General features: G+C 36.6%; 1 annotated feature.

Annotated features, from left to right (window-relative positions):
- Positions 318-1,517: an enhancer, noted in NCBI's record as "MED14-independent group 3 enhancer chr2:210233444-210234643 (GRCh37/hg19 assembly coordinates)". NCBI's record gives its function as "activates an origin of replication core promoter dependent on BRD2, BRD4, P300/CBP and CDK7 cofactors, and independent of MED14, by STARR-seq in HCT116 cells {active_cell/tissue: HCT116}" and the evidence as "EXISTENCE:reporter gene assay evidence [ECO:0000049][PMID:35650434]".

Here is a 13,830-nt window from a genome sequence, read left to right on the forward strand (position 1 = left end):
AGCATTTATAATGCCTTGCTTTTCTTCAAATTTCAGCATTGTTCTCATTCTTAAAGAATCTGGAAACAGAACTTGAGTATTATCATCACTCCCCTCTCTATCAATTGTTTGACAATGCGTCCTTTGAAGGAGCATTCCATAGGAGGACTAGCACCACAGCCTGTAAAGAGTTTGGACATCGGGTCTAGCCTGCCCTACCAGTGATTTATTGCATACCAAGACAGAAGTGCAAATAAAAGACTGCAGAAAAAGAGAGAGAGTAATGCCCAAATATAAGCTTTACTCCTGTGCAATTTTGCTTAGGACCAGTATTTCCATGCTTCAGTGGTCTATGGCTTAAAATACTTAATAAAGCTCTATTCAGCACCTGAATCTTGAATACCTATAAAAAAGAAATATTTCAATCTATTATGTAAAACATTATTTTTCCTGACAAGACTTCTTATGTATTTGAAACTGCCTTGCAAGCATTTAATAGTAAAGTTTTTTTTTCTCTTTTTGGTGTCTAAAAGAAGTTTCAAAGTTACAAATGATTTTTACTTGTTAATCATAATAAAGTGGTTTTAATTCTAACCACTGCAGCATTCTCTGTTCCTTCTCAGGATGACCTGGCATCACTAGCTGGTTATATTGCTCCTTATCTGATTGGAGCCTTGTCAGGAATGCTCACCTCTTAGAACTGCCAACTGAGGCGATGCCACGTCAGCTCATTGACTCACGGCATTGAAATGAAACTAACAACTGGGACTGAAACTACAGGTCCTGTGGACAATGGCATCACAGACACATGATCTAGAGCTATGGCTTCACGTTGATCACAAGTCGGAGCTGGAACATTTTCCTTGCATTTAAATTGCTGATGCATTTCTTTCTTGAATCAGGGAAATGACCCATATTTAAAGCATGTATTTCTGCAGTTTCTCTAGCCTCAACTATGAGTATAACATGGTATTGAAAACAGTATAGCTGTGTATTCCAGGCATGTTATTGCGACCATTATGGTAAACTTTTATTTTTTAAAAAACAAACATCAATTATCTTAGACTGTTGTAAAGACAAAGCAACTACACAGTAAAACAAAAATCTATGGACCTGTCCAACTGTTTTAAGAAGGGAAGAAGTCATGCTGAGAAGTATCACAAACAGAGAAGGCTGCTGATTCTTTTCTTCCTCCTCAAGGCATAGTCATTTAACAAGTGCAGCCCTGAATAATCTAACACCATCTCATACCAGCCCTATTGTTTGTTTAAAAATTGGGGCAAGATGCATCTCCATATTGTATTCCTTTATCCATTTCTACATTAAGAAGATGATAAAAATTCAGTATCACCATTTGAACCTAATTTATTTTAAATGATCTAACTAGTAATAAAAACTATACAATAATGACAAGTACAATATGATTTATGGCCCAAAAGCAGTTATCTGGCAGAATGCATTACTATGAAAGGATTTATGGTCTTTCTTGATGTTGTAAGAGTATGTCTGTCAAGCTGGAGGTTGCCAAAGGATGACATGGGTAGAGGTGATTTTCACTCAAAAGAGAGAGCAAAATGAGTTTAGGCATATGATAATTAGCTCAAAGTACTCTCAGCAGTGATCTTTGATTTAGATCTATCTCACCTTTGCTTATACACACATGATTAGAATCCTCACATTTAATGTCTACATATTCTATTTTACCCTTGTGATATTCTTTATCTGCCCCATTGCCTACCTTTTCAGACTTATAAGTCTATAACACACCAAGTGGGAGGGAGTCTTGGAGTTATCCAGGCCTACGCTCCAACACCTGTGAGAATGATGCCAATATTGAATTAATTTGTACAGAAAATATTACCTGCAAAGTGAAAAGTGGCATATTGTTATGGAAACACAAACAATGCACAATGTCTGGCACTGGTAAGTATTTAAAAACACATTTGGCTAGGCATGGTGGCTCACACCTGTAATCCCAGCACTTTGGGAGGACGAGGTGGGTGGATCACGAGGTCAGGGGATCATGACCATCCTGGCTAACATGGTGAAACCCTATCTCTACTAAAAATACAAAAAAAAAAAAAAATTAGCTGGGTATGGTGGCATGCGCCTGTAGTCCCAGCTACTTGGGAGGCTGAGGCAGGAGAATCGCTTGAACCCAGGAGGTGGAGGTTGCAGTAAGCTGAGATTGTGCCATTGCACTCCAGCCTGGGTGACAGAGCAAGACTCCATCTCAAAAAAAAAAAAAACAAAAAAAAAAAAAAAAAAAACTCGTGAATGAGAAACTGGACCATAACTCAAGGAATACAGGCTTGAATTGCAAAAGATCCAATTGTTAGCTGCATAAATGGGGATGTCCACTTACTATGATGGCAAAAGAATGTACTTCCCCAAAGTTTACCTAACAGACTATTTTCATGTGTAATGAGAGAAGAAACTCTGCATTATCAGATAACCAGTATCTTCCTGTCTTTCTGCAGAATATACCAACTGATGCTATGATGGTAGGTCCCTAGGAAGCCTGGGTAATCTGCTCCCAACACTTGAGTTGCATGCTTACCAGGTGCCCACTAATGAGTACATTATGGTGCTGGCTCTTGGCATTGTAAATATATATTTGAATTAATTATTATATACATTTATGGAAATAGGTATGTAGAAAAAAGAGTTGTTTCTATGAACACTCAGCTGGATCCTTTGAAAAGACTTCATAAATGTGAACCTATTTAAATTCATTTTCAAATCAGTCATCTTGAGAAAACTAAAAAATTGAGAGGGATCATAAAATATATAAAAGAAATTTGTGCTTTATTGGCTCCACAAGTATCTTTACAGTCTTGTTCTACTTTAAAGAAACTAAATGAGGAAGTTATATATAAGGAATTTCAGATGAAGTTTAGGCAAGAAGATGGAATAAAAGCAGGGCATTCAGAATTTTTAAAAAGGCCTTAGCACAATATTAAAATATTTAGAAATTAATGCTGATTTTTATAATCAATTTACATAAAAATGCAGTACATTAAGCATACATCATTTTTAAGTTTTCTATGTAAAGGACTTTTTATGATCCTTTTTTCAACTAACCAGCCCATCATTGGTCCAGATAGTGTCAGAAAACAGGGATTTATCTCAAACGTATTTTAAATAATTTTAAAGGTTGTAAAGTCTTATAGAAATTTAAAGTATATACACCTATATTTGTATTACCAAAAATTCACAGTCAGCAAATGTAGAAGTCACCATGAACCAAGGAAAAACTGATTAATGTACAGTTAATTCTGAAGTCAAGAAGATATATACTGTGGCTTGAAAAGAGTTGACATAAAACTTCAGTGCTCCCACATCGCACTTATTCTAAAATTGACCACATAATTGGAAGTAAAACACTCCTCAGCAAATGCAAAAGAACAGAAATCATAACAGACAGTCTCTCAGACCACAGTGCAATCAAATTAGAACTCAGGACTAAGAAACTCACTCAAAACCGCGCAACTACTTGGAAACTGAACAATCTGCTACTGAATGACTACTAGGTAAATAATGAAATTAAGGCAGAAATAAACAAGTTCTTTGAAACCAATGAGAACAAAGACACAATGTATCAGAATATCTGGGACACAGCTAAAGCAGTGTTTAGAGGGAAAGGTATAGCACTAAATGCCCACAGGAGAAAGTGAGAAAGATCTAAAATCTACTCCCTAACATCATAATTAAAAGAACCAGATAGGCAAGAGCAAACAAATTCAAAAGCTAATAGAAGACAAGAAATCACTAAGATCAGAGCAGAACTGAAGGAGAGAGACACATGAAAAATCCTTCAAAAAAATCAATGAATCCAGGAGCTGGTCTTTTGAAGATTAACAAAATAGATCACTAGCCAGACTAATAAAGAAGAAAAAAGAGAAGAATCAAATAGACGCAATAAAAAATGATAAACAGGATATCACCACTGATCCCACAGAAATACAAACTACCATCAGAGAATACTATAAACACCTCTATGCAAATAAACTATAAAGTCAAGAAGAAATGGATAAATTCCTGGACACATACACCTTCCCAAGACTAAACCAGGAAGAAGTCGAATCCCTGAATAGACCAATAACAAGTTCTGAAATTGAGGCAGTATTTAAAAGCCTACCAATCAAAAAAAGCCCAGGACCAGATGGATTCACAGCCGAATTCTACCAGAGGTACAAAGAGGAGCTGGTACTATTCCTCCTAAAACTATTCCAAACAATAGAAAAAGAGGAACTCCTCCCTAACTCATTTTATGAGGCCAGCATCATCCCGATACCAAAACCAGCAGAGACACAACAACAACAACAAAAATTTAGGCCAATATCCCTGATTATCATTGATGTGAAAATCCTCAATAAAATACTGGCAAACCAAATCCAGCTGCACATCAAAAAGCTTATCCACCACGATCAAGTAGGCTTCATCTCTGGGATGCAAGGCTGTTTCAACATATGCAAATCAATAAAAATAATCCATCACATAAACAGAATCAATGACAAAAACCACGTGATTATCTCAATAGATGCAGAAAAGGCCTTCTATAAAATTCAACACCCTTCATGCTAAAAACTCTCAATAAACTAACTATTGATGGAACATATCTCAAAATAATAAAAGCTATTTATGACAAACCCACAGCCAATATCATACTGCGTAGGCAAAAGCTGGAAGCATTCCCTTTGAAAACTGACACAAGACAAAGATGTCCTCTCTCACCACTCCTATTCAACGTAGTGTTGGAAGTTCTGGCCAGGGCAATCAGGCAAGAGAAAGAAATAAAGGGTATTCATACAGGAAGAGAGGAAGTCAAATTTTCTCTGTTTGTAGATAACATGATTGTATATTTAGAAAACCCCACCGTCTCAACTTCAAATCTCCTTAAGCTGATAAGTAACTTCAGCAAAGTCTCAGGATGCAAAATCAATGTGCAAAAATCTCAAGCATTCCTATACACCAATAATAGACAAACAGAGAGCCAAATCATGAGTGAACTCCCATTCACAATTGCTACAAAGAGAATAAAATACCTCGGAATACCACTTACAAGGGATGTGAAGAACTTCTTCAAGGACTACAAACCACTGTTCAAGGAAATAAGAGGACACAAACAAATGGAAAGACATTCCATGCTCATGGATAGGAAGAATCAATATCGTCAAAATGGCCATACTGCCCAAAGTGATTTATAGAATCAATGCTATCCCCATCAAGCTACCATTGACTGTCTTCACAGAATTGGAAAAAACTAATTTAAATTTCATATGGGACCAAAAAAGAGCCTGTATAGCCAAGACAATCCTAAGCAAAAAGAACAAAGCTGGAGGCTTCATGCTACCTGACTTCAAACTGTACTACAAAGCTACAGTAACAAAAACAGCATGGTACTGCTACCAAAACAGACATATAGACCAATGGAACAGAACAGAGGCCTCAGAAATAATGCCACACATCTACAACCATCTGGTCTTTGACAAACCTGACAAAAACAAGCAATGGGGAAAGGATTCCCTATTTAATAAATGGTGTTGGGAAAACCGGCTAGCCATATGTAGAAAGCTGAAACTGAATCCCTTCCTTATACCTTATACAAAAATTAATTAAAGATGGATTAAAGACTTAAACGTAAGACCTAAAACCATAAAAACCCTAGAAGAAAACCTAGGCAATACCATTCAGGACATAGGCATGGGCAAAGATTTCATGACTAAAACACCAAGAACAATGGCAACAAAAGCCAAAATTGACAAATGGGATCTAATTAAACTAAAGAGCTTCTGCAAAGCAAAAGAAACTATCATCAGAGTGAACAGGCAACCTACAGAATGGGAGAAAATTTTTGCAATCTATCTATCTGACAAAGGGCTAACATCCAGAATCTACAAGGAACTTAAACAAATTCACAAGAGAAAAACAAACAACCCCACCAAAAAGTGGGCGAAGGATATGAACAGACACTTCTCAAAAGAAGACATTTATGTGGCCAACAAACATATGAAGAAAAGTTCATCATCACTGGTCATTAGAAAAATGCAAATCAAAACCACAATGAGATACCATCTCATGCCAATTAGAATGGCAATCATTAAAAAGTCAGGAAACAACAGATGCTGGAAAGGATATAGAGAAATAGGAATGCTTTTACACTGTTGCTGAGAGTATAAATTAGTTCAACCATTGTGAAGACAGTGTGGCGATTCCTCAAGGGTCTAGAACCAGAAATACCATTTGATCTAGCAATCTCATTACTGGGTATCTACCCAAAGGATTATAAGTTATCTTACTATAAAGACACCTGCACACGTATGTTTATTGCAGCACTCTTCACAATGACAAAGACTTGGAACCAACCCAAATCCCCAGCAATGTTAGACTACCTAAAGAAAATGTGGCACATATACACATGGAATACTATGCAGCCATAAAAAATGTGAGTTCATGTCCTTTGAAGGGACATGGATGAAGCTGGAAACCATCATTCTCAGCAAAGTAACACAGGTACAGAAAACCAAACACCACATGTTCCCACTCATAAGTGGTAGTTGAACAATGAGAACATAATGGACACAGGGAGGGGAACATCACACACTGGGGTCTATCAGGGGGTGGGGGACTAGGGGAGGGGTAGCATTAGGAGAAATACCTAATGTAGATGATGGGTTGATGGTTGCAGCAAACCACCATGGCACGTGTATACCTATGTAACAAATCTGCACATTCTGCACATATATCCCTGAACTTAAAGTACAAAAAAAAAAAAAGCCACCAGACATTGTAACATACAGCCAAATATTTCTAAATGATAAAAGAAAAACTTCAGTGCTCATCAATTGGAAGTGTGACCCAAACTCTTCCTAAACTTCAGCAGGTTTACCAAAAACAAGTAACTATCTCTCTTCTCTTTCTCTCTCTTCATCTACCTGTAGATGTGTAAAATAATTTTATGTATGTGCACCATAATTTTTTACATATATACCATATGTACTTAAGTACACATGAAAATATACATATACACCATGCGTGTTCCTATAAATGCACTGTTATATATGTCTACGGAACACTGAACACTCCATTTACTCTTACATCTTATTCCTATAAACTTAATTTTCAGTCATCAATGTGAAGATTCAGAAGTGAAATTACTTAAGAGGAAACTTCACACCTAGCTCACACCTTCTTATAGATTTTCTGTGGCAGCAGGTTCTCAAACTTTCCTCTTGACATTTAGAAAGCCTCACTGCTGATCTTAGGTAATAGAACTTGACACCTGAACAATATGCCCTACATTTTCAGAACACTTTGAATCTACTGATTAATCTACATACTATCTTTGTGAAGTGAATAATTACAATTTTCACAAGTTTTTTCAGGCGAGACAACTGAGACTCCATTAAAATGTCTAATAACACATGACAGTAAGGAACTGTATTTCAACACTACTATTTGCAGAGGAAGAACTACATAGGAATGATGAAATAATAGCTCACCAAATAATTATTGAGCATAATTACGTGCTTTGCAAACAAAGAAGAATTGTTTCTGCCCTTAAAGCAATTACAATAGAATCTGATATGTATGAAGAGATTTGTTTGAGGCACTGTTGAAGCATGGGGCAGAAACAACTAACTGCCATTTGTGGGGAATGGTAGAAAATGTGCTTCTAAAATAACCATGATGGAGCATCTTGAAGAGCAGGATTTTATTTAGCAGACAGAGAAGAGAACGATGTTCCCATGAGAGCACTGTGACATACCAAGGTACAGAAGTGTGAAATGCCTTTCTCAGCCAAATAAAATTATACCAATGCAGCAGGCCTGGATGAATCCAAATATTCAGTAGGAAATTTTAGAATATATAGAAACCACATGGTGAAGAACCTATAAATCCATGCTATGAAATCTTAAATCTATTTTAGGCTCCCAGGAATCACTGGAGGAGTTGACAGAGGAGAGCGAATGACATGATCCTATTTGTGTTACAGGAGATTTTTTTCTGTAAAGAAGGACTGGCTCAATTCATTAACTTGAACAACAAAGGGAATAAGTTGAAGGGAAGAAAGACGTAAATTAAGCTGCAGCACTGAGAATGAAGAGAATAGCAGTTTCAACTCTCATTTTACAGGTATAATTAACAAAATTCAATGCTTTTAAATGTAATTGATAACTTTCCTTCTCTACTGGCTTTTTAAAATGTGCCAATTTTTTCACCTCAGGACATTTCTTGATTTGGTTTTGCAATATAGTAGTACATAACCTAGCTCCCTGGGTTGTTTCATGACCAAATGGAGTACATATAGATTCAAAAATCACATAATTCCATATTTCATCTGAAGATATTCTTGTCTAAAGTGACAACATTGCTTCTTCTTAACCTGGAGTCTAGACTTAAATAAAATGTACAGGATCAATTTCTACTTCTCTCCCAAATGAAACCAAATTGACCAACAGGTCTGCAGAGGGAACCAGTCAGCTGCAGCATGAGTTCTCACTTCTGTCTCACTTCAGAGAGAAAAGAAGGACATGAAGTATCAGCAGAGGGTGTTCAGTTGCTCCTAATCTTGTGGCTCCATAAAAGTAACTACAGAGGTCAATCAAGTACCTCGTGCCTTCTAAAAACCTTTCCAATTTTGTTCAAAATAAACAACTCTTGCTTTTCAAGCAATAATTTGAAGACATAATTTACATTTTATCATCTAATGTAAAATGTTAAAAAAGTAGTTTCAAAATTATGAAAAATGGAATAGTTTTAAGAAATTATGTCTCTAATCCGTACATAAGTACACGAGCAATGCACACACACAAAATGGAAACATCTAAGATTTGTCAATAAACATTAACTTAAAAATAATACCTAGCTAAAGAGATACCCAAGGTTATTCATGGGATAGTACCCAGGCTCTATGCATCATGTGGAAAGCTATGACATCATAAATTAAAAGCCAAATAATTTTGAAAAATTCTATTTTAGTACTAGCTGTATTATAGTTCATTAAGGTATGAGGTCTAATGTAGACATGTTTAGTTGCCACTTATTTTTACTAACTCACTTCTATATTAGAGTGTAAGGTAGAAATCATGGAGTCATGTTTACTAATAATGGTAAGAGGAAGATAAATGGCTGACAAACATCCTATATGTCTTCAATTCATTTCAAATGATTTCACAAGGGGACTTCTCACTTCCCCTAGAACCCTCCACGAGGAAAACCCATGCTGACTTCCCAGCCTGATTTCTCAGAAAATATGCCCTTTTTTATCAGATTCTACTCAAGGCCCCCACTCTGAAAACTAAAATAAGGGTTTGGGGCCATGCGGGAGGCCTGAGAGTGTGAGGCAGCAAGCACATTGGCAGACAGACAGCTTAGTGGCATCAGGCAGAGAGCAGCAGTGTGCACCCCAGGTCCTGTCTACTCTTTGCCTTCTTGGGCATGAGTTTAGACATGTGAGTTAACCCAGCTGTGTCTCAGTTTTTTCCTCTGTAAAAAGTGTGAGAATTATAATTACTTACCTCTTAAGGATGTTATAACACTAATTAATGTCTCAAAACTCTGTGAATAAAAATCATCCTGCACAGATGCTAATTACTATTATTCATAGATTAGCCATGAGGCCAGATGCAGCAGCAGAAGTGGTAGGCAGGTTTTCAGCCTTTTTAATGAAGGCCAAATGGCAGTGAGTAGGAAGAACTGTGGATAAAAATAAAGCATTAACCAAGGACTTAACATGAAGAACATCACACTAGCAGAGCTGCAGTCACCAGGTGTCCACTGAAATGATGGTGGAGTGCAAATCCCATGACTGAAAATCACCAGAAAGTTCAATTATCTGTGGCAATATTTCACGAAGAAAAAATATTTTTGAATATGACTCTGAATACTAGTGGAGTGAACAAATTGTCAGGAATATTGCTACACTCTGCATAATCAAAATAAGACTCAATCACTTAAAAGACATCATGTGAGCCTACCCGACACCATTGTTTTATTATTTTTAGATACAGAAATTGCAGAATATGGCCAAATTAGAGAATTCCAGAATCTTCCTCAATTGTTACTTTATAATTGAGTTAGGGTATTGTTCCTCGGTAACATTTAAAAGGCTCATTTAAAAAATAGTGTAGTTATTTTCCTATGATTCCTACCATTGCATCCATATCCTTCTGGCCTCTGCCCATGATTCACTTTTTGGCTACACCTAGAGAAGCATGAAGGACAGGTCCTCAATCCTCACTAGCCAATCTGGCCACGTGAGGTGATTTCCATAAAATTTCTTGATCAGGAAAGATGGTTTGAGTGGAAAGTCTGGGAATTCCAAAGCCTTTTCCATCCAAAGATTGCAGAATTCCTAGGCACCCACATATTGCAGATTACTTCACATTTTACACTTTCTCATAAGACTTCTGCAAGATGATGTGAGTGTTTTCAATGTTACAAGTTGCTACCATAGTCTAAGTTCAGAAATACGAAAGTGCGCTTGAGATGTGTATGAGTGAGCAAAGGAATAGGTGGCCCAGTTGGAAGACTCAAAAACTTGCAGTAGGGGTCAGGCCTGAAGAACAACACTTGTTATCTGATATATCTGAACTGTATCTGACAACCATTTATTTTTATGGATATCAGATTCAGCATGAACTGAATTTGTATTTATATGCAAAGTATAACCATGGTTGTTTTCACATTCTAGCTTCAAAAAGAACACAAGTACAAAAGGCATTTCATCTCTTTTCCTTTCAACGAGAAACAGAGGTTCAGAGAACTTATATGACATTGTAAGATAGTGTAGCAACATAAGAGGCCTTTGGCTTCCAGTCTAGTGATCTACCCAATGGCTCCCTCTGATGTCATAATTATTTAAGTGTCCAAAGAGGCCTCTGGGACATGAGTGTGCCACTTCCTGATGGAATCCACCCCTGGTCACAACAATGCACCCAGGCACATTAATGCCCCACTTATAGAAAAGTAAAAATAGTAATAGTAGATTCAAATTGCACCTAACAGCAGTAGCAGAAAGATGAGGAAAGAAGCTAAAATGTGCACTGATATCAAATCACCATGGAGGATTGTCCATTCTTACAACCATCATCTAGGAAGAATCTACGATGTTAAGAGAGACTAGGTCTTTACCCTCAAAGACTGTACCATGTCTGGGAGGAGACAGTCATGAAACAAATAAGCTCCTAAACAGTTAATAAATTACAAGTGAAATAGTGCTAAAATAAATCTAAAAGTTTAATTACCATAAACTCCAATATGTATAAAATCAGCTGTTAGTTTTTGTCATAGTAGTCATATTATTTTTAATGTAAAAAACCTAATTTCAATTGACATAGAAGAAAGTAAAAGTGGATAAAAATAAAGCTCATGATATAACATCAGTTGATATCCCCCTATTCCAAATGGGATTGCAAGCAACTTTCCCTTAGATTTTAGTGCCCTGGGCTTCCAATGCATTTTGAGACTGCATTGACAGCAGATAGAGTTGGGAGTATAATTACCATGAGGGAATACTAAACTAGATGCCAGAAATTGAATTGCGAATAAGAGGACAATGGACCCAGCAATGTGGCATGGTTCAGTCCCCTGGTGCTAGGTCCCTGCCAACTTCGACCAAGAAAAAACTTCTCCTGAGCCTACAGGTGAAAGAAATCTGCAGGTTGATCTCAACCAACAACTATACTTCAAAATGCTCACTGTGACAGTGAATCCCCTTCCCACACTCTTGGCAATTTAACTTGAAAACTGTAACCGCATTTTAGCTTTGGAAGTAAGTGTGTAGCAGATGAGATATCCTTGTTTGTTTATGTGCCTTAATTTCTAGAATATTCTCTTTATGGGTTGTTAAGATTGTTAAAATTAAGCTGTCTCTTCCTGCACTGCAGAATGGCGTTATACCCAGCACCCTGCCCGAGGCTGGTCAGATAATGAAGCAGAACAGCAAGGTAATGAGATATTATAGCAATTCCTAACCCATTCCACACCTGACTGACCCCAGTAATGAGTCAATAAGGCCTGTGGCTCTGTAATAGGAGCTTATGCAGTAGAACAGTGAGGCAGGAAGTTGAAAAAGAAAACCTAGAAGCTGTATTAGAGCAGGTACCATAGCTCCTAGCATTTTTAATAGGCCAATTCAACCTACAATCTGACCTCCTGTGGTACCCAATGGCTTTCTTGCTTCCTTTTCTGAATCACTTCTTAGTTTCAAGTTCCTTATTTTAAAAAAACCCACAAAAAACAGAGGCCTTCTTGTTAAATGAGACATACAAGATTTACAACTTTGAGGTATTAAAAAGTGGAAGTAGAGTGAATACAAATAAAGCTCATGATATGAAATTTAGTTTCTTCTGCTACTAATGTCTTACTCTAAACTCTTCAATTTCTAGAATATATATCGGTAGCATGATACTAGTAGAATTATTGCCTTCACCCCTTGGTTCTACCAATCCTTTCAATTCTTTTAATTCTGCAGCAGTTTCTACTGGTATTCATCTCTTTTTAACCTAATAATCGTACGTGAAATGTTAAAGCCGGATGTTCTGGGCAGTTGTGTCATGATCTTAAATGGATTAAATGTGAAAAGTTAAATATCACAGTTCAGCATGTACCTCTTAAGCCATAAATGGTATTGTAATCGGATGAATAATAGTATATCAAATGATGTACTGAACATTGGTTTCTATGATGATTCCATATGGGAGTCTAGCAGAAGAGAAGGATCAATTGAGTTACTTTTCCAGGAGGCTGGGCACAGAAGGAAGAGTCACAAACATTGACAATAAGATTATCTGGAAGAAGGAAACCTCCGTGTCTCCACAAAGAATGAAATATGAGCCAAAAAAAAAATGAGAACAGGAAAGGATAGATGTAAGAGAGTAATGAGTAACTGCAAACAGAGAAAAAGGATGGTGTGGCACAGACACTGGGGACTCACAAATCATCCAAGTTACGTTTGGATGATTTGTGACTCCATCCAAACATGACTAGTTTTGGAGAGTAAAATATGAATGGCAATGACATGTTATTTACAGTCCTATGTAGCTAAGATAAGAAGTGTTGCACCCCTCCGTCTCTTAGTAGCCATGTGTTCCTAGATTAAAGCTGCTGTGCAATAGAAATATGATGCAAGCCACATATGTAATTTTAAATTTTCTAACAGCCTCATTAAAATTAATAGACTAAATAATCAATAATATTTAATCTAATATATCCAAGATATTATTCTTTCAACATGCAATCAATATAAAAATAATTATTGAGATACTTGATATTCTTTTTATCTTACTATGTCTAATACATCCCATGTGTATTTTACACATATGGCACATTTGGATTCAGACTCCACATATTTCAAGTGTTCAGTAGTCACACGGGACTAGTGGCTACTCTGTTAAGTAACAAAGTTCTAGAAAGTCTTGCTACAAGATGAAAGAAGGCTGCTCTACATTCCACTGTCTGAGTAAGAGAATCTTTTGTTGCATTAAGCAAGTCACTGAAATTTTAGTTTATTTGTTATTAGAGCATAAAATATATTTACCCTGACTAGTATAATAAATGTAATAAAATCAGGACCAACCAAAAGACTTTCCTTTTTCCTCTTAAGTTTAAAGAAATTGAATGTAGTTAAACAAAAATAAAATTTTTGGCCAGGAAATTAGGCCAAAGATGTTGATGCATTAGTGTTTTTCATAGGTGGGAGCAAACTTACCAAAGAAAGCTGATGCCTCACTGCCAGAAGTAACACACATAACAGATGTAACTGATTGTCCAATCAATCACAATCAAATGTGCGTACAAAACTTTGAACTATCACAACTCAATTAGGAGCCTCCTTTTCTGCTT

The sequence above is a fragment of the Homo sapiens genome, chromosome 2 (assembly GCF_000001405.40).
Source record: "Homo sapiens chromosome 2, GRCh38.p14 Primary Assembly".
Classification (NCBI taxonomy): Eukaryota; Metazoa; Chordata; class Mammalia; order Primates; family Hominidae; genus Homo; species Homo sapiens.